This window comes from Homo sapiens, chromosome 3 (genome assembly GCF_000001405.40).
Source record: "Homo sapiens chromosome 3, GRCh38.p14 Primary Assembly".
Classification (NCBI taxonomy): domain Eukaryota; kingdom Metazoa; phylum Chordata; class Mammalia; order Primates; family Hominidae; genus Homo; species Homo sapiens.
In genome coordinates, this window is record NC_000003.12 from 33,681,165 (window position 1) to 33,703,984 (window position 22,820).

Consider the following 22,820-nt stretch of genomic DNA (forward strand, 5'->3'; position numbering starts at 1 on the left):
TTTAGAAAAGATATAATGTATACATACACACGCACACACACAAATACATATGTTAACATCACTTCTTTCTTTCATCCATAAAATGATGTAGAATTTACTCAAATGGAATTGTTAGCCCTGGAAGTAGAAAATGAATAGATGATCAAGTCAACAAAAAGCTTATTTCTGAGACAATCTTATTACCAGCAAATAATTGGTATTGGCAAACAACTGCTGCTAAGAGAGACAATCAAATATAATGAAACACATCATACTAGAACACATCACCACCCGTAAAGTCGCCTTGCTCTTCCTGACATCCCCCCACCAAATATCTGTTGAAATCTCTAGATTTAACTACACAATTACAGGATATGAAGAGAAAATAACATGTTAAACTATATACCACAGGAAAAGAATTGGCAAACTCCAGAATGGGGGAAACTTCACAGAATAAACTGTCAGCTTATTCAACAAATAAAACACAAGGATAAAAGAGTGTTGGAGTACATAAAGGTTTTAAAAGACTTAACAAAACATAATATAACATATAGACTTTATTTGGACCCTGGTTCAACAAACTGTTAAAAGCACATACATACTACTATGGTTTGAATTTGATCCCTCCAAGCCTCAAGCTGAAATCTGATCTCTAACGTTGGAGGTGAGACCTAATGGGAGGTGTTTGGGTCATGGGTGTGGATCCTTCATGAATAGATTAATGTCCTGTCCTCCCTGGGGCAGGGAAGAGTGAATGAGTTCTCCCTAGGTTAGTTCCTAGGAGAGCTGGTAGTTAAAAAGAGCCTGACTCTTGTTCTCTAGCTTCCTCTCTGGCCAGGTGATCTCTGCAAACACCACCTCCTCATCACTTTCCACTGTGAGTAGAAGCTGTGAGAGGCCCTCACCAGAAGCCTAGCAAATGCTGGCACGGTGCTTCTTGTATAGCCCCTGAATCATGAGCCAAATAAACGTCTTTTCTTTATAAATTACCCAGCCTCAGATATTCCTTTACAGCAACACAAAACAGATTAAGACACACACTTATGATATTTATGAAACAACTGGAAATTTGAACCCTAACTACATATTTGATATTATAGAATTATATGAAAAAAAAACTTTATAGAGTGTGATGATGGTATTGTGACTGACAAAAAATTTTTTCTTTTAAAAATACATTGAAATATTTACAAGTGAAATGTTATAACTTGGACTTGCTTCAACATAATACAGCACAAGGGTAAGTAGTCTAGGGTGTAACACAAAAAACTGGATACACACTGATAATTGTTTAAACCAAGTAATAGGTAAATGAAGGTTCATTATTTTATTCCACCTACTTGAGTATTTGTTTGAAATGCTAAATACCCTAATAAAAAGTTTTAAAAAATTCCTTTAGTGAATGCCCTCAAAATTTCATTATGAAGAAAAAGAAATACTTTAATACAAATATCCTTAATAAAAGTATATAAACTGAGAAGCAGTAAAGAAAAAAAGCCATTGAAAAATATTTTCTGATACACTAGAAGATTATCAGCAGGATCTTTAGTGATCTGACTAATGCCACACTACTCATATATTCTTGATTTCCTTTTTAGTTGAACAGGTTTTAAGAGTAGTGACTAATTTAAAAAACAAAAACAAAAACAAAAACAAATTGTCAGTTGTTTGGCTAGAAGTAAGGATAGATGGGACTTAATGGTTAGTTCTTGAGTGTGAGAGACTGAGTAACAAAGAGCTTAGATTCCCTGCTACAGTCTACCTGTATGTTAATTGTGGGGACAGATTGTCAGCTTCCTTTGGTTATTGCTGAAATAGGCTGTATAACATTTTGCAATTGTAAGAACCCTACAATTGGTTACTTATTAAGCTTTTAAAAAACTGATTCTCATACAGTTTCTGTTACCCAATAAATTGTATGGTACCTTTCAACAGTACATACTTTTAAAGGATTTACTTGATGAATGAATTAATATTTTTAGTAAATCCTTGCTCAAGCATCTCCCAAATAATGACTATTACCACCTGGTATCAAAGGATGATTACTTGATAATGGTACATAATTACATACTAAATAATAAATGAATATATAATGAAACAATGACAAAAAATATTACAGGACCTTAAGAACTTTTTAAATGGTGATAACATATATATCCTTTTGTATCTTTTGAATTTTAAAACATTTCAGCTGACTGCAGTGGTTCACGCCCATAATTCCAGGGAGACTGAGGCGGGAGGACTGCTTGAGCTCCGGAGTTCAAGACCAGCCTGGGCAACATGGTGAAACCCTATCTCTACAAAAAATACAAAAAGTAGCCAAGCGTGGTGGCACACGTCTGTTGTCCCAGCTACTTGGGAGGCTGAGGTGAGAGGATGGCTTCAGCCCGGGAGGTGGAGGTTGCAGTAAGCCGAGATCGTAACACTGCACTGCAGCCTAGGCAACAGAGCCAGACCCTGTCTCAAAAACAAACAAAACAAAAAAAATTTCAAAAATTTGAACCTATTTAAATACACAGGCTGGGTACGGTGGCTCTCACCTAATCCCAGCACTTTAGGGAGCTGAGGTGGGCAGATCACTTGAGGTCAGGAGTTCGAGACCAACCTGGTCAACATGATGAAACCGTCTCAACTAAAAATGCAAAAATCAGCCAGGTGTAGTGGCGTATGCCTGTAGTCCCAGCTACTTGGGAGGCTGAGATAGGGGAATCACTTGAGCCCAGGATGCAGAGGTTGCAGTGAGCCAAGATTGTGCTACTGCACTCCAGCCTGAGCAAGACTCTGTCTCAAAAAAAAAAAAAAAAAAAAAATTAAAATAGGCCAGGTGCAGTGACTCATGCCTGTAATCCCAGCACTTGGGGAGGCTGAGGTGGGTGGATCACCTGAGGTTGAGAGTTTGAGACCAGCCTGACCAACATGGAAAAACCCCGTCTCTACTAAAAATACAAAAAATTAGCTGGGCATGGTGGCAAGCGCCTCTAATCCCAGCTACTCGGGAGGCTGAGGCAGAAGAATCACTTGAACCCAGGAGTCAGAGGTTGTGGTGAGCCAAGATCGCGCCATTGCACTCCAGCCTGGGCAACAAGAGCAAGACTCCATCTCAAAAAAATAAATAAATAAATAAATAAAAAATACATTGAAATACACAAATAAAATGAAAACTTTTAAAACTAGTGGTGAAAAAAAAAAAAAGAACCAAATTTAGCAAGACTTACCTAGCAGGGGGAATTCCTCTCTTATAAAGATCCATCCTCACTTTTTCTCCCACATGTCTATAAATCTCCACTATAGCCAATATTGCAGCATCTCTCACCTGTCAAAGAATTCAGAACTTTTTAATAAACTTATATATGATACAATAAAATACTTCATCTCAAGGTAACATTACACTAACAGACCAACTTGAAGCTCTAAGTGGATTTTAATGCCCCTGCATATATGGCTTGTCATCAGTAAAAAAACAAGAGGGCCTGCCAAGATACTTCTAGAAAAAACTACTAAAAGATGATTTTACAGAAATTTGAGAAACTTGTCAATAAAAGTTACTTATTAAGCTTTTAAAAAATCTATTTGTGGCCAGGCACGGTGGCTCATGCCTGTAATCCCAGCACTTTGGGAGGCCAAGGAGGGTGGATTGCCTGATGTCAGGAGTTTGAGACCAGTCTGGCCAACATGGTGAAACCCCGCCTCTACGAAAAATACAAAAACATTAGCTGGGCATGGTGGCATGTGCCTGTAATCCCAGCTACTCAGGAGGCTGAGGCAGGGGAATTGCTTGAACCAGGGAGGTGGAGGTTGCAGTGAGCCAAGATCGTGCCACTGCCCTCCAGGCTGGGCGACAGAGCAAGACTCCATCTCAAAATAAATAAATAAATAAATAAATAAATAATAATAATAATAATAAATCTATTTGTAGGCCCGGCACGGTGGCTCATGCCTGTAATCGCAGCATGTTGGGAGACCAAGGCTGGCGGTTCACCTGAGGTCAGGAGTTTGAGACCAGCCTGGCTACCACGGTGAAACCCCATTTCTACTAAAAATACAAAAAATTAGCCCAGCGTGGTGGCACATCCCTGTAATCCCAGCTACTTGAGAGGCCGAGGCAGGAGAATCGCTTGAACCAGGGAGGTGGAGGTTGCAGTGAGCCAGGATCACGCCATTGCTCTCCAGCTTGGGCAACAAGAGCGAAACTCCGTCTCAAAAAAAAAAAAAAAAAAAAAAAAAATCCTATCTGTAGTAAGATTATGTAAACAACTGCCAATAATTATATTAATACAAATTATGATCACGGTTAATGTATTTTCCTGTATTAAGACTGCATTTCAAGAATGTGGCCTGAACTCAAACAGATACTTTTTACACTAATATTCACAACAGCATTATTCACAACAGCCAAATGTGGAAACAACCAAAATGTCCATCCACAGATAAATGGATAAACCAAATGTGCTATATACACACGATGGAATATTATTCAGCCTAAAAAAGAAGGGAAGGAAATTCTGATACATGCTACAAGATGGACGTACCTTGAAGACATTATGCTAAATAAACAAGCCAGACACAAAAGAACAAATATTCTATCATTCTACTTCTATGAGGTACACAGAACAGTCAAATTCACAAAGACAGAAAGGAGAATAGTGGTTGCCAGCAGCTGGGGAGGGGGAGGGGGCGCCGGGGGTGTGACGGGGGACTGCCAGGGACTGGGGAGTTGCTGTTTCATGGGTACAGGGTTTCAGTCTGGGAAGATGAAGAAGTTCTGGAGCTAGATGGTGGTGATGGGTGTTGCAAAACAATGTGAATGTACGTAATGCCACTGAACTTACACTTAAAAATGGCTAGAATGGTAAATTTTATATTGTATTTGCTATAATAAAAGGAAAAAAAAAGAATGTGGTCTGAATACAGGAATTTGAAAGGTAGCTCTAGTTCCCTTGCACAGCTCATTGTGAAATAGCAACTGAAGAGACAGTAGAATTCTCTGCAAACGTCTTCAGAGCAGGTAGGATCTAAAAGAAGGGAAAATCTTTCCTGAGGTCACTCCAAATCGCCAAGCTGAGCCAAAAGGTTACAGTCAAGATTCAAGTTCACCATGAGGGACATGAACCAGAACACATCCCTGTATTATACCTATAGTATAGACCAGGGATCCCCAAGCCCCAGGCCATGGACTCATATGGGTTCATAGCCTGTTCAAGGACCACAACAGGAGGTGAGCAGCAGGGAAGCAAGCTTTACCGCCTGAACTCTACCTCCTGTCAGATCGGTGGCAGCATTAGATTCTCATAGAAGCACAAACCCTATTTTGAACTGTGCATGCGAGGGGATCTAGGTCGCATACTCCTTATGAGAATCTAACTAATACCTGATGATCTGAGGTAGAACAGTTTCATCCCAAAACCATCCCTACCCCGCCCATGGAAAAACTGTCCCTGGTGCCAAAAAGGTTGGGGGCCGCTGGTATAGACAGTTCAGATAAAAAAGTTTCTAATAACTGATATACCACTGATATAAATCCTCTCTGTTAAGTAGGGTTCTTACAATTGCAAAATGTTATGCAGCCAATTTCAGCAATAACCAAAGGAAGCTGACAATCTGTGCCCACAATTAACATACAGGTAGACTGTAGCAGGGAATCGAAGCTCTTTGTTACTCAGTCTCTCACACTCAAGAACTAACCATTAAGTCCCATCTGTCCTTACTACTAGCCAAACAACTGACAAACATAAGCAACTTTCATGAATATAATGTTTTTAAAAACTAACTTTGATGGATTTTTTTTAATGAGGTAAAATCTTGATTTCAGCATCCCCCTCCACCCTCTCTCTTCTTTTTTAAAAATAGAATAAGAGGACTAGAAAAGAAATGGTAGCCAAAAAATCAGTCAATGCTTGAATGTAAATAAAATTTTACCTGACTGTTGGAGTCTCCAAACAGGATACACAAATGTGGTATCAATTTGCTGATGACTAGTGGCTGAGCCCCAAAACTAAATATAATTTGAGAAAAAAATAAAGAAAATTTGTTTTTAATAAACAGTAAACAAAATATCCTTATACCTTCTTGTCTGTAGCAATATAACAAATATAGTGGACAGGATGGGCACACATCATTAAAACATGAAGGATATGAGACATAAGCAAAAAATAATTCTAAGCAATGTAGCAAAAAATAATTCTAAGCAATGTAGTATGCAAACCTGAATAATCACAACTGACAGTGAAGACAACACATACTCTAATAGATTAAAATGTTCAACAATGGCACTCTTAAACCTAGCAACCTATGAATAACTTAAGAAAATCAGAGTTTTCACTTTTAAAATTGTGATTTTTTTAGACTCTGGTCTCAAATAAATGCATTCCAATGAAATAAGTAAATTAAAAGATCTTTATGCTTATGGCAGGAGAGCCAAAACCCAGCACAAAGAGCTGTGCAGACTGAGTACACTTATAGGCTCTAGAGGGCAGAAAGGACTATAAAGTAATAAAAGAAAATAAGTGAAAATATAGTTAAGAAAAGGAAGTAGCACTATAGGAAAAGCTGAAAGCTACTACATATGACCTATGACATTGCATAGAACCTAAAAAAATAATCCACAGCAAGAACAAAAGTCCTAGCATTTTTTCAGATCAGAGTCATAGTTCTGTGGCAACTACGGCAGCCAGAACTCTACACACAGCTACCAGCCTCACTGTCCAGTTACCTGGGAAAGTTTTGCTTGGTCTATGATTCTGGTACCCACCCACACTGCTCTAGGGGTAGGGTGGGGATGGGAAATGACTATAATATGTGAAATATCATTGAATTAAAAGCAATTCCAAATTCAATCCAGAACAGAAGTAGATACTAAGTTATCAGCATATCAGTTCCATGACCATCTGTTTTGGGTGGCTACTATTAACATACTAAAGAAAAAAAGAGAAACACTTATTACTGACATAACTGAAAAATTAAGAACATGAAAGATAACATACACAAAAAATGAACAGTAAAGGTATCAAATGAAGTTATATGCTTTAATAATTTTAAATGTGTTATTACCATAGCTTTCCTTGACTTTGTGAACTGAGGTTTTTTTTAGAGAAATAAAAAACAAGACAGTTATTTTCAGTAATCATAAAACTTACATGTTTAAGGTTTCAATAAGACACAGACACACGCCTTCTCGAGATCGAAAATTCTTGTGTTTAAAACCAGAAGCCAACTGCTCCCAAATGTACTATTTGAAAGAAAAGTAAAAACGTATAACAAAAAACTAAATTATTCATGTTATAATCTTTTATTTCTTCCCAATCTTACTACCAACCTTATCGGTAACTGAATGTTTTCATCAGACTGTTGTTCATTTCTCCACTACTTACAAGTTTTTCTAAGCCAAATTACACAATTGCTCTCACCCATTTTTATTACCTTAATCACATTTTAGTACTTATATATATTTCACTTTAGATTTTGATATTCTCAGAAGAACCATGTCCAACAACTGAAAACCTTAGAATTTCCAAGGACACAGGATTTCTTCTATAATTAAGAAACCTTCAATAACAATGCTGCCATTATAAGTCCAGCAGTCCAGTAAGTATTTAAGTGGTCCAACATTGCCTAGCAACTAATATAGACTCACATGGAACAGGCGCTTTTTTTTTGGACATTTTATAATTCAGACTTTTTTCCTTTTAATGCTGGATCCAAATTCAGAGACGTATTTGGGCAATTCATTTTATAGCTACCTACCACACTTTTCTGTTAGAAAAAGCATAGATAAACCTATACAAATAATCTAAACCAATTATTCTGGGCGTAACAAGAAATCCAACTTTATTTTTACAAACGTAAAGCCAACTGTACCAATCAATCCTTTCTCCACATTTGGAAACACCACCTTTACCCTTTACTAAATTCAAATATACAACATACACAGCCATCCTCTTTCGGTACTCAGTATTCTTTCTGGAGTCTGTATTCAGTTCTATTAATATATTTCTCTCTCCCTACCAAACTTTCAAGAAGGTGGCTTAAGAAATTACAAAAAAAAAAAAAATCTTAAATGTGAGTAACCTGACTCACCAATACTACCTCAGGAATGCTATTCCATATAAATACCTATATTTATGTTCAAAGATAGAAGTACAAGGGATGCCCCTTATGGTACTGTTTGTAGTCACAGAAAGCCAAAAACAACCTAAAATGTAAATGAATAAACGAGAGTGGAAGGATACCCACCACAATATTTAAAAAAAAAAAAATTAGTTCTGAAATATAAAATATTTGGGAAAACATAGTAACCACCTGTGAAAAAATTTTCTTCTGCTCTCTGTAGGAGTTGCAGAAATGAACAATATAGCATTCAGTGTTCTCAAAATAAGCTTTCTCAATAAACATTTTATAATTTACAAAAAAGAGAAACCAAAAAATCCTAAAGTATAACATAATCCGTATACTGTCAAATCACTGAAATCTATTAGTTAGCTTTTAAAAAAAAAGCATTAAGAGTACAAAATAAGAATCAGAAGCAAAAAACCAGAAAGTCAAACATTGACACTGTATCTTAAATATCAACTTCTTAACAGTATTAGCAACAAATCATTGCTTAAAATTTCAGTGTTCATGCTTGCTGTGGCTTTAATGATTTCCTGTGATTACCATTAGCAAAATCTGAATTTTAAAATGTAGGCTTACCATAGGTGGTGCTACTTGATCCATTAACTTCAATATCAGAGTCTGAGCTTCATCTCGAACCTTGTCTTTGGCATCTCCCATTCTGTCTATTAAAGCTACAATAACTAAAGAAGGGGAGGGAGTAAAAGAGTAATTACTTATAACTCATCTCCATTAAAAACTATATTTTTCAAAATTACAAATAGCAATTGTTTCCATAAATGAAGAGTTGTGAGGTAAAGAAATTGTTTTAAGTTCTTTACACATGAATCCAATAAAAAATAACTGAGCAGTTTCACAAGAATACATGCAGCATGATATCTCCTTATAATAATGTTAAAAAAACAGCAAAACTAAATATTATTTTTCTCAGAGAAATGTATAGACGAGGGGACAAGGAGGAAGTAGAATTCAAAGGGAACAGGTTCTAAAGTCAGTTCATAGGGCCAAAGTATCTCATAGTCAAAATTATCTTCCTGTAATCCCTTAAATTACCACTACCATTTAGTGTGGTCGTACTAGGTGTGTGACCAAATGTCTATTTTTTAGACACCTTTTGTCTATTTCCTCAGCCGTAAATGTGGGTAGCAGTACTCATCTCAGAGGATTATTGAAAATTAAAAAATAATACACATAAACAACTCAAAGAGTAAAGGGCACAGAGTAAGCACTTTCTATAATATGCCACCTACTATCACTATCACTATCATCATTCTGCATGTTCAAAAGCAAGAAAATTTGCCTTGTTTCTCTTTTGATATTACAGCTATACAGTAGTCCCCCCTTATCCACAGCTTTACTTTCTGTGGTTTCAGTTACCCATGGCCAACTGTGGTCTGAAAATATTATATGGAGAATTCTAGAAATAAACAACTCATAAGTTTTAAATTGTGCACCATTCTGAGTAGCATGATGAATTCTTGGACTGTCCCGCTCCATTCGGTATGGGATGTGAATCCTTCCTTTGTCCAACATACCCGCACTGTTCATGCTACCTGCCTATTAGTCCCTTAGTAGCTGTTTTGGTTATCAGATCAAAAACACATCGCATGTATAGCAGCAGTCCCCAGTCTTCTTGGCATCAGGGATTGGTTCTGTGGAAGACAATTTTTCCACAGTGGCAGGGGGTGGGGAGGATGGTTTTGGGATCAGGCATCATAAAGAGTGCACAATCTAGATCCCTCAATATGCACAGTTCACAATAGGGTTCGTGCTCCTTTGAGAATCGAATGCTGTGGCTGATGTGACAGGAGGCAGAGCTCAGGTGGTAATGCTCACTTGCTGGCCACTCATCTCCTGCTATGCAGCCCAGTTCCTAACAGGTCATGGACTGGTTTGGACTATCGGAGGCTTCAGGAATCCACTGGGGGTCTTGGAACACAGCCCCTGAAGATAATGGGGGACTACTACATAGCTTTTCTTTCTCTGAATCAACGGAGGACTAAGTCTAGTTTAAACAAGGGAAGGAGAAAGAAACAGATCAAGAAAAATATTTCCCTGGTTTATTTATAGACACATATAATTAAATGTGTATATAATTTGAAGCCAATCTATTATCTATAATGTAATAACCAAAACTGATATAGTAATGAACAAGAGTTAAAGAAAAAAGAAATTACATTCTTTTTGGGAAAAAAAATGACTAGAGTGAGAAGGCAACATGCCAAATGGAAAGATATTAAGCTTAATCACAGAAATGATTGTGTAAGAAATCAATGTCCTCAACATAAGAATCATAAGTCTAATTATGAGGCAACGTTCATCAATAGGAACAATATAAATTCTTCTCATACATCTTGGATGTACTGTTAACACTAGAAGAATTTATCAACATCTATAAGGTTGGCCATTATGGGCTTCTGGTTCTGATAGCTTCTGAAAGGCAGAAGACAATAGTAAACACTTAACAAATGTTAGATATTATTATGCACTAACCACTGAATTATCTCATTTAATCCTTGCAACAGTCCTATGAAACAGAGTAGGCCCATTTGATAGAGAAGGCACAGCAGGATTAAATAACTTATCCAAGGTCATGCAAACAACAAGTAGTGAAACCAGGTTTTTAATAATTTATACTGGCCAGGTGCAGTGGCTCTCACCTGTAATCCCAGCACTTTGGGAGGCCAAGGCAAGTGGATCACTTGGGGCCAGGAGTTTGAGATCAGCCTGGCCAAAATGACAAAATCCCATCTCCACTAAAACTATAAAAATTAGCCGAGCGTGATGATGCGTGTCTGTAGCCCAGCTACTTGGGAGGCTGTGGTGGGAGGATGGTTTGAGCCCAGGAGGCAGAGGCTGCAGTAAGCTAAGATCACACCACTGCACTCCAATCTAGGCAACAGAGTAAGACAGTGTCTCAAAAAAATAATAAATAAATAAATAAATATCTATACAATGTGTGATCAAAGTCATAACCATCTCCATTTTCCATTTACTTATAATTTGAGGTGTTTGAGTGTGTGTGCATATTTTAACAACCATATAACAATAATGGAAAAAGAAAAGACACTTCATTCCTGAGAGGTGAAATTTAACTCCAACAAGAAAATTCAAATGTTGGCCCAAACAGGGGCTCACTTTAATATTAAAAACCATTTTACGAAACATAAACAAAAACAAAAAACTTCACATTACATAAAATTATTACAGCTAATAATTTAAACAAGAAATTCATACTGTTTTTGCACTGGATCGCTTTTTAACACATACTACCTTGAAGTCAAATAGAACAAGACTGTATTCCTAACTCTACCAGTTACTAATTACAAAACAGAAAATTCCCTGAACTTCAAAGTTTCCTTGTCTGTAAAATACGGAAGGATGACAGAACTATACCTCACATGACTAGTGACAGGATGAAGTAAAATAAGGAAAAAGCACCTGTACCAAGCCCATGATCATTGAATTATCATTTAATATGATGAATATTCAACAAATATTTATTGGGTATCCAGAACAGAATTTTTCACTCAATAGGCTCTCCATATGAATGTGTTAAACAAATGAATCAATCTATCACAGACTGGAATTTGGACAATGACACATGGAAGAAGTCTGAAACGTAACTCTTAGTATTTTTTTTTCTTTTAGCTTCGTACAAGATGCAAACCATTCTAAAAAAGTGATAACCGGGTAGCCTAATTATTCTTGTATTCCTTCTACAATAACATTTTGGGTTAAAATTGTTTAAAATTTTAAAATAGTTTACAAAATTTATAAGATATGAGATCCTTTACTGAATCAGTTATAAAACCAGGGCTGGTGATCAATATTAAATGTAAATTGCATATTTTTTGTTTGAAAATTATATTTTTCCACAATATATGTGGTCACAAAAGGAAACAAATATTTTCTATTATTAATACTATGTATATAGATCATATATTTAAGAATTACATTAATAGAGCTCATACTCTTTTTGGAACTGTATCTAAAACCAAAAATGAATCTCAATTTTCCTAAAACACTTCTCACTTTTAACGTAAAAGAATATTAAAAATACATGTAATGATAACTAATAACCCGAGTGCACCAAAACTAAACATTATCTCTCAAATCAAGTTATATATATCTACAGTTAGATTATCAAAAAACCTTCCAGACATAATTCAATTCAACTCCTTCCTTTTACAGAAAGACTCCTAAAGAGATCTGGCTAAGTTCTGTAACACAGATAAAACCAAAAAGCTAACTCTGGGACTCTTAGTCCAGTTCCATACCTCTCTAAGAGCACATAGGTATGCTGCCAATCTTGCAGAGCTGTTCTACAAATTAGAAATGAAGTGAGGATAATCTTTCATGTATGTAAAGTAGTAAAAGGGTAAAAGGTAAATAGGCAAAAATGGGTAAAAAGTAGGCATTCAATTAATTGATAGCAAAGCTGTGATAAAATTTTCCTATTATACCACACTGTATATTACCCTAAAGTAATAACAAGTTCAAGTTTCATTAAGGAAAATGATGAGCACTTATGATTCAAAGTGAAAACAATATTGACTGACAGTAAATGCACAGGGATAACAGAAAGAATAGGAGATTAAAAGGAAAAACTATACATACATAAGAGTGTGTGAACATGTGCCATCTAGTTGCACAAATACAAATGAAAAACACTAACCAACAAAAGTAAGTTAATGTAATTTATTAAGTATTTAACTGTATTAAGAATCACAGAGTAAAGAAAAATTCAATGTGGGGTGAGGTTAACCTGAAAATTCCTGAGATTCTCAAATCTGAAGTACATTTTTAGAAGGGAAAGAAAGGACCATGGAGAAGAGGGGAAGATTTCAAAACGAAATAAGGGCACAGCAGATGCACAAACAAGTTCAGCTAGGCCTAGAAAGAGTGAGCAAGTTTCTGATTAGCTTAGAGTGAAGACAAAGTACTTGCTAAAGATTACAAAGAAAAAGTCTACTGAGATGGAGAAGGAACATATATGGTAAAAGACAGCTTAAGAGAATTAAGTTCTGAAAGGAGGGCAGTGTTGGGAGTCAAACTAGAATTCTGGTTCCAATATTCCCATTGCCTCAATATGAGTGTAGTCAGTACATAAAACCCCATGTGGTACTCCTGGTGTCTGAAAAATAAGTGAGATACATAATACCTAGAACTATTCTTAAGTCTAAATTTTCTCTGTAGCAATTAATAACAGGGAGCTACTACAGGGCAACAGTCACAAACACAAATGTTTATGGTCAAGGAGACACAGGAAATGCTGAAATTGAGCCAGTTTAAGAAGTGCAGTATTCCAACCTTACCATATCATACCTAACTTTCTCAGTTACGAAGAGACAAGAGGATTTTGGGGGTGGAGGAGGTTTTACGAATTGGAAAGATCATCACCTAGACACAGGAGAAACTACAAAGCAACTTCTGATCAGCATCACTACATTAGGCAATTTCTTGAGACAAGCCAGAAATAAGAATTTTCATGTAAAACTTCTCAATTTTAAACACTGATTCAAAATATTTTAAGAAAATACAGGCTGGGCATGGTGGCTCACACCTGTGGTCCCAGCTACTCAGGAGGCTGAGGTGGGAGGATCACTTGAGTGTTGAGGAGGCTGAGGCTGCAGTGAGCCACGATCATACTACTGCACTCCAGCCTGGGTGACAGAGCAAGATCCCATCTCAAAAAAGAAAAACAAAGGAAGGAAAGAAAATAAAGAGACAGACAGAGACAGTGAGAGAAAGAAAGAAACAAAACATAAACAAGTAAAATACTTGCAGAGCAGTTTTCAATATCTACTATAGTTTTTTTTTTTTTTTTAAAGAGATAGAGGTTTACTCTGTTGCCCAGGGCTTGGTGGTGCAATCTTAGTTCATTGTAACCTTGAAATCCTGGGCCCAACCTCCCATCTCAGCCTTCAGAGTAGCTAGGACTACAGGCACACACCAGTAAGCCTGCTAATTTTTTTTTTTTTTTTTTTTGGTAGAAACATGGTCTCACTCTATTGCCCAGGCTGGTCTCAAACTCCTGTCCTCAAGCAATCCTCCTACCTTAGCCTCCTAAACTGTTGGGATTACAGGTGTGAGCCAGTGAGTCCATGGGCCTACTATAGAGTTGTAAGGGGAGACTAACAGCTTAAAAAAAAAAATCTTTTCAGAAAATATTAACACAAAGGATGAAGTGGAACCTGGTGTTGATTAAAACTAAATAATAAAGATAGGAAACCCCATCAGATGCTTCTGTTGAAAAGATAACTAGAAAATAAAAGAAAAAACTGACAGAATGGTAGGTAGCATACCAAACATGAAGAAAAAAGTTAACCAAACATATCAAAAAGTTAAATGTGATGATATACTGATATTAGGAGGCATTAACTTAATCCACAAAAGAAAATCACTGGCCAGGCATGGTGGTTCATGCCTATAATGCTAACACTTTGGGAGGCCGAGGTGAGAGGACTGCTTGAGCCCAGGAATTCAAGACCAGCCTGGGTAACATAACAACACCCCATCTCTATTTTAAAATACAAAAGAAAAAAGCAAAGAAAATCACTAACATCTGAGGCTACCCTTCTATATGCTATATAATGCTGCTATATAATAGGATCAAATCCACTTATAACATACTCTAAAGGTACATGAAGGTCATTTGGGTTTAGAAAATAAGTCAGAGCCAACTTTGTAATCCTAATAACCATACAAAGAAGAGCATTATCCTACCATATGCACTGTACTACAAACACACTGTAAGTAAGTGCTATTCAAAGTATGATCTACAGCCTAGGATCAATCTACAGACTGTCTATGATAAGGAAATTTAGAGTACTTAGAAAATGTTTTTAAAGCAATTTGACCAAAGAAATTTTGTTTGTTGCATCTAATGATAAAAAATTGGGTCTTGTTTTTTTTTTCATTTAATTTTGCTATAATTTATTCTTATTGTATTTTATAAAATATTGGTCTGCAACATGCTGGCAATGAAGAAACTGATCCTTCCCCATAAATAGTCTGAAACATGGCACTGTAAGTTATATTACAAATTGTGGCATTTCACAAAATAGTAAAAGATCCAGTAAAAACAATTTTCTTTCTTTCTTTTTTTTTTTTTTTTTTTTTTTTTGCCTCAAAGGTGATTTAAGTAAGTTTAAAACCTTGTCTCTGGGTAAACTGAAATGCTAAGTAGCAGATCTCTGGGTTACATAACATTACTTTTTTTTTTTTTTTTGAGACAGAGTCTTGCTCTGTCACCCAGGCTGGAGTGCAGTGGCATGATCTCAGCTCACTGCAACCTCCACCTCCTAGGTTCAAGAGATTCTCCTGCCTCAGCCTCCCAAGTAGCTGGGATTACAGGCACACGCCATCACACCTGGCTAATTTTTGTATTTTTTGTAGAGACACGGTTTTGCCATGTTGGCCAGGCTGGTCTCAAACTTCTGACCTTTGGTGATCTGCCTGCCTCGGCCTCCCAAAGTGCTGGGATTACAGAAATTACATTTTTTTAATTTACAGAGAACTATTTCTGCTAAATAAAAACTAACGAAAAAAGTCATCATGTCAAATCTTATTTAGAATTGTAAATAAACAAAGTTAACTTACCCATTGCTACATAGGATTTAAAGCGTGTTGATAATCTGTCCACAAAGGCACTTAAAATTTCCAATCCCATTAATGATACCTACAGATAAAAAGGGATTTTAATGAATATAAATTACTGATGCATACTTTAATATCAGTATTTAATTTTTGACATATAAAAGATCTTCATAAATATATTACATTTTTTAAAAATGAGATTTAAGTATTCAAGGGTAAACAGTCATGAGGTTAAGCACCCTAATCTCAAATGATTCAACAATAAAAACAACAATAATAACGTGTAAACAGGAAGATAGCAATAAAGCATATTTGGCACAATGCTAACTAGTAAATTAGACAAAGGTCACACAGGAGTTTACTGACTCTACAGTCATGCATCACTTAATGACAGGGATAAATTCTAACAAATGTATCATCAGGTAATTTTGTTATTGTGCAAACATCAGAGTGCATTTACACCTAGACAGTATAGCCTACTACAAACCTAAGCTATATGGTATATCCTATTGCTCCTAGGCTACTACCTGTACAGTATGTTACTGTGCAAAATACTCTAGGCAACTGATAATACAATGGTATTTGCGTACCTAAACATAAAAAGGTAATGCAAGCACAACATTGCAACAATTATGACGTCACCAGGCAATAGGAATTTTTCAGCTTTATTATAATCTTATGGGACCACCATTGTATATACAGTCCATCATTGACCACAATGTTGTTATGTGGTATGCATAACTATATTTGTAACTTTGAAATGTTTCCTAAATGTAACAGTTAAAAATGTAGGCCTCTTTAATTACAGAGGAATTTCATCTTCTGTCTGGGATGTAGAAACTGGAAAGAATATCCCTCTCATTCTAACAAGAAAAAGCCCACTGGGTCTACAAAATCATGACTGTTCTTGAATCCATCAAAAAGCTAAGGCTGGAGAATAACCAACTAACCTGAAATCTAAACAAAGACATGGGACACAGGCAGTAGGTCACATGTGACAGAGGACAGGAGGAAAATAAACCCATGATGTAAGTGGGTAAGAAGAAGTCAGTTATACTTAACAAAACTATTTACAACTGAGTGTGGGCTAGCATGAAAACACAACTAGCCACAGACACAAGGAGAACTCATACCTACTTACAGGCTCTAGTTCACACCTACTTGCAAGCTCTTTCTCCACAAACCTCCACTGGACACTCTTAAGACTAAGGGCTGAGAAGGATATTGGATAAAGTATCTCTTGGTGGTACAGTCCTGGGGGAAGGAAACCGCTGCCTGTGCAGGAAAGGCACAAAGGCTCCTAGTACCCTTGTCCCGTAAGAAACAAAAGCTTGAAGCTAAGAAATAAAAGTTTGAAGCTCCTCAGTGAAGGATATCAAACACTGTTACGCCTAAGGCACAGGTAAAACTCAATGCTATTAAGGAGAGGAAAAAGATAAAAAGCCTTCTACCCCAGAGGAAGGAGCAGAAAAACATCCTGGGGCCCATATAATTAAAGGTCTCTAGTTGGGGAAAGCCATGGTCTTTATAAAGCCTTACCCCAAGACTCAGAACAAAAAGCTTCCTAAGACTGAAGCTAGACCAGAAAAACAAAGAATGACGCTGTTTCCCCCAACCAGACCAGCAAGCATGAAATAAGAAGCAACAGCAGTCTACCAGTGGGGAAGGGGCAAGAACACGAAGAAGAATCCTCTATGAAGCACAAGAAAATAGGGAAAACCTAAAGTGCAGAGTTGAGTAGAAACTTGAGGAAAACCCTTCATAAAATTAACCAAGTGACAAAAAAACTGAAGCAAATATGAACTAAAGCAACTATAGCAATCATAACATTGAAACCTAACTCAACTCCTGACTAGACTGACTGCATAGCTCCACACTATATGTAAGTTTAGCAGAAAAAAGGCATGTCATCTCCAGGCATAAGTACTATTTAACTTGCTCTTAAACATCTTAAACACTGTCCAGTTTTCAACCACACATTATGAGACACACAAAAAAGCAAGGAGGGATAAATACCAATATCAAGAATAAAGCATGGAACAAAATACATAGATAATCTGAAAGCTGGAATTATCAGACCATTTAAATAACTGTGATTAATGTAGTAAATGTTCTAGTTAAAAGAGCCAACAACATGCAGGAATAAAAGGAATTCCAGCAGAGAGACCAAAACTTTAAGGCAGAGTCAAAATACAAATAATTTTTTAAATGCATTAAAAGCAAGGTAAAAGTGATTAAGATGCCTTTGATGGGTTCATCAAAAGATTTGATACAGAGAAGGAAAGAATCAGGGAATCTGAAAATACGTTCATACAAATTACTCAAATTGAAATACAAAAAGGAACAAAAAGGGAAGGGGAGAGACAAAGCATTCAAGAGCAGTGGGATAATACTAAATTGCCCAACATAATGTCATAGGAATTCTAGAAGAGAGAACAAGGTAGAAGAAATATTTGGAGGGAAAATGGCCAAGAATATAGGAAAAATAATGAAAGGCATCAAACCATACATCTAAGTCTCAGAAAACCCCCAAACAGAAAATTCCAAAAAACACCAAGACACATCCTATTCAAACTGTTAAAACCAAAGGAAAGAAAAATCTTAAAGTCAATGAGAAAAAAACAAAAGGACATTAAATACACAAGTACAGAAGATTTCCGGCCAAAAAGTATGAGAGTAAGGAGACAATGGAATGACATTGTTACAGTATAGTAGTCCCCCCTTATCTGTTTAAGTAATACATCCCAAGACCCCAGTGGATACCTGAAACCACAGACAGTACTGAGACCTATATATAAATTTTCCTACAAATATATACCTATGATAAAGTTTAATTTATAAATTTGGCACAGTAAAAGATTAACAATAATAAAGTATAATAACCATAACAATATACTATAACAAAAGTTACGTGTGTCTTGTCTCTCTTAAAATTTATATTGTACTTACCTGCTTTGGGACTACAACTGACCACAGGTAAGTGAAACCGTAGAAAGCAAAACCACAGATTATTGTACTACCAAAAAAAAAAAAAAAAAGAATGCTGTCGCTTCATAATTCTATACCTAGTTAAAATAAAAGATATTTTAAAAGACATTTTAAAACTAAAGGAGAAATAAAAAGTTTTTCAAACAAACAAAATCTAATAGAATTCATTACAAGAGACCTGTATCACAAGAAATGTTAAGGGAAAATCTTCAGGGAAAAAAATACATGACAGCAGACAAAAACTTAGATCTACACTAAGAAATAACAGGAAATAGTTGAAATTAAAATAAATATTTAAAACCTTAAAAATAAGCTGGGAACAGTGGCTCATGCCTGTAACCCCAGCACTTTGGAAGGCAGGAAGATCACCTGAGGTCAGGAGTTCGAGACCAGCCTGGCCAGCATGGCAAAACCCCATCTCTACTAAAAATACAAAAATTAGCTGGGTGTGGTGGCACATACCTGTAATCCCAGCTACTCAGGAGGCTGAGGCACGAGAATCATCTGAACTTGGAAGGCAGAGGTTGCAGTGAGCTGAGATTGTGTCACTGCACTCCAGCTGGCAACAAAGCAAGACACTGTCTCAAACAAACAAACAAAAAAACCTTAAAAATATATGTATTTAATTACTCTAAAAACTAACTGACACTCTAAAACAAATACTAGGTCTATTGAGTTTAGTAAAGTCATGAGATAAAAGGTCACTATAAAAAAATCAATTGTGGGCCAGGTGCGGTGGCTCATGCCTGTAATCCCAGCACTTTGGGAGGGTGAGGCAGGCAGATCACCTGAGGTCAGGAGTTCGAGACCAGCCCAACCAACATGGTAAAACTCTGTCTCTACTAAAAAATACAAAAAAAATTAGCCAGGTGTGGTGGTGGGTGCCTGTAATCCCAGCTACTCGGGAGGCCGAGGCAGGAGAATCATTTGAACCTGGGAGGCAGAGGTTACAGTGAGCTGAGATCGCGCCATTGCACTCTAGCCTGGGTGACAAGAGTGAAACTCCGTCTCAAAAAAATAAAACAAAACAAACTGTGTTCCTACAGACCAGCACTCAACAATTGGGAATTTTCAAAATACTGTATCATTTACAAAACTAACAACAATCACAAAATACTTAGATATAATTCTAACAATTAAGTCCAAGATCTACATGCTGAAATCACAAAATGCTAATGAAAGTGATAGAAAAAGAGCTAAATAAATGGTATATACACACATACACATACATATATACACCAAGTTCATGAATTGGACAACTTAATATTATAAAGATTTGAAACCCCACAAATTGTTCTTGTGTGAATGCAATCCCAATCAAAATTCCAGTAGAATTTGATGCAGAAATCGACAAGCTGATCCTGAAATGTATATAGAAAGGTAAATGAATTAGAATACTCATATCAATATTGAGTAAGAAAAATGAAGTTACAGTGCAATTATCTGATTTGAAGACTTAATATAAACCTACAGTAATCAAGACAATGTGGGGGCTGTAAGAGGCACATGCCTGTAATCCCAGCACTTCTGGAGGCTGAGACAAGAGGATCGCTGGAGACCTGCCTGGGCAACATAGCGAGAACCTGTCTCTACAAAAAATTTTAAAAGTAGCTGGCCATGGTGGCACAGGCATATAATACCAGTTACTCAAGAGGCTGAAGCAGGAGGATTGCTTGAGCCCAAAAGTTTGAAGCTGTAGTGACCTATGAATGCACCACTGCACTCCAGCCTGGGTAACAGAGTAATACCCTGTCTCAAAAGAACAAACAAATATATAGATCAATGAAACAGAAGAGGCAGTCCAAAAATAGACATACACATATATAGTCAACTGATCTCCAACAACTGTGCAAAGGCAATTCAATGAAGGAAAGAAATATACTTTTTCAATAAATGGTGATGTTACAATTGGATATCCATGTGCAAAATAAAAAATGAACCTCAACCTATACATCACATCATTTACAAAAATCAACTCAAAAATGTATGAGATATAAACATAAAACCTAAAACTATAAAACTACTAGAAGAAAACACAGGAGAAAATCTTTACACCTGGAGTACACAAATAATTCTTAGAGACAACATGAAAAGAAACATAAAAGAAAAAAACATAAAAGATTCTTGGAGACAACATAAAATTTTAAAAATTGATAAAGCAGACTTCACTAAGAACTTCTGCTGTTTAAAAGACATGGCTAAGAAAATGAAAAACCCAGTCACAGATTAAGAGAAAATATTTGCAAAATACTTATCTGATAGCCAACTGGGTTCACTGTAGAGTTTAAGAAGCCTATTCTAAAATTCATATGAAAATTCAAGGGGCCCAGAATTGTCAAAACAAGCTTGAAAAAGAAAAAGTTGGAAGACTCAAATTTCCCAATTTCAAAACATCCTACAAAGCTTCTGTAATCAAGACAGTGTGACAATGGCACAAGAAGAGAAATATAAATTAATGAAATAGAACTCAGAGTCCAGAAATAAACCCATACATTTGTATGGGCAACTGATTTTCAACAAGGGTGTCAAGACCATTCAATGGGGGAATGATTCAACATATGGTACTAGGACAACTGGATGAATGCGGACCACTACCTCACACCATACATAAAAATTAACTCAAAATGAATCATAAACCTAAATGTAAGAGCTAAAACTCTATAGTTATTAGAAGAAAACATAGGGTAAATCATTGTGACCTTGGCCATGGTTTCTTAGACAGGACATAAAAAGCATAAACAACAAACAAAAAAAGAATTAGAGTTTATCAAAACTAAAAACACCTAGTCTTCAAAAAAACACGATGAAGAAAGTGAAAAGACAACCAACAGAATAGGGGAAAATAATTGTAAAACATATATCTGTTAAGGGACTTGTATCCATAAGAACTTTTACAACGTAATAGTAAAAGGACAAATAACCCATTTTTTAAAATGAGCAAACAGAAAAGAATAGAAAGTCTGGAAATACACTCACATGAATACAATCAAATGATCTCTCACAAAAAAGCAAAGGCAATATAATGAAGAAAAGATAGTCTTTTCAACAAATGGTACTGCAACAACTGAGATCCACATGCAAAACATTAATCTAGACAGAGACCTTATGCCCTTCACCAAAAATTAACTCAAAGGATCATAAAACTAAATGTAAAATATAAAACTCCTAGAAAATAACATAAGAAAAAATCTAATTGACCTTGATGTGGCAATGTCTTTTTAGATATGACACCAAAGGCATGGTCCATGAAAGAAATAACTGTTAAGATGGGCTTCACTAAAATTAAAAACTTCTGTTCTATGGAAGATGTCTACAGAATGGGAAAACAAACCACAGACTGGGGGAAAATATTTGCAAAATACACATCTGATAAAAGACTGTAATGCAAAATATACAAAGAACTCTTAAAACTCAACAACAAGAAAATAAACAACTCAAAAAATGGGCAAAAGATCCAAACAGTGCCTCACCAAAAAAGATGTAAGATATATAAACAGCAAATAAGCACATGAAGAGATTCTCAACATCGTATGTCATTAGGAATTGCAAATAAAATTATGATAGCACTACACACCTATTAAAATGGCCATAACCCAATTCACCGACAACACTAAGTGCTGACAAAGGTAGGGAGAGAGAGGAACTCTCATTCACTACTGGTGGGAATGCAAAACAGTACAGTTATTTTGGCAGTTTCTTACAAAGCTATATATACTTTCCCCCATATGATCCAATGATCATTCATGTTCCTTGGTATTTAGCCAAAGGAGTTGAAAATTGATGTCCATAAAACACCTACACACTCATATTTTTTGTTTTTGTTTTTTGCAGAGGCAGGGTTTCACCACGTTGCCCAAGCTGGTCTTGAACTCCTGGACTCAAGCAATCCACTGGCCTTGGCCTCCCAAAGGGCTGGGATTACAGGCATGCACCACCATGCCCAGCCCACACTCATGTTTAAAGCAACTTTATTCACAGTTGGCAAACTTGAAAGCAACCAAGATGTCCCTCAGTAGGTGAATGGATAAATATGTAGTACATTCAGACAATGGAATAGTATTCAGCACTAAAAGGAAATGAGCTATCAAGGCATGAATAAGACATGAAAGAATCTTAAATGTATGCTATTAAGTGAAAGAAGTTAG

General features: G+C 36.2%; 1 protein-coding gene across 40 annotated transcripts in view, besides 2 other annotated features; it reads right to left on the reverse strand.

Moving 5' to 3' along the window:
* The window catches only part of CLASP2 (cytoplasmic linker associated protein 2), a 222,010-nt gene that overhangs the window by 184,920 nt on the left and 14,270 nt on the right, over positions 1–22,820 (reverse strand). For 39 of the 40 annotated variants that reach the window (NM_001400406.1, NM_001375705.1, NM_001365634.1 and 36 more), the window contains exons 2-6: positions 15,691–15,769; positions 8,665–8,768; positions 7,113–7,204; positions 5,896–5,971; positions 3,195–3,292 (exon numbers count right to left, since the gene is read on the reverse strand). In NM_001400406.1, coding sequence (NP_001387335.1) covers positions 3,195–3,292; positions 5,896–5,971; positions 7,113–7,204; positions 8,665–8,768; positions 15,691–15,769 — 449 coding nt within the window. The remainder of the gene's footprint in view (positions 1–3,194; positions 3,293–5,895; positions 5,972–7,112; positions 7,205–8,664; positions 8,769–15,690; positions 15,770–22,820) is intronic. The other variant, NM_001375713.1, reaches the window with a different exon arrangement.
* Positions 16,639–16,839: a silencer, noted in NCBI's record as "peak4600 fragment used in MPRA reporter construct". NCBI's record gives its function as "represses an SCP1 promoter by STARR-seq MPRAs in K562 erythroleukemia cells {active_cell/tissue: K562}" and the evidence as "EXISTENCE:reporter gene assay evidence [ECO:0000049][PMID:32103011]".
* Positions 18,259–18,459: a silencer, noted in NCBI's record as "peak4601 fragment used in MPRA reporter construct". NCBI's record gives its function as "represses an SCP1 promoter by STARR-seq MPRAs in K562 erythroleukemia cells {active_cell/tissue: K562}" and the evidence as "EXISTENCE:reporter gene assay evidence [ECO:0000049][PMID:32103011]".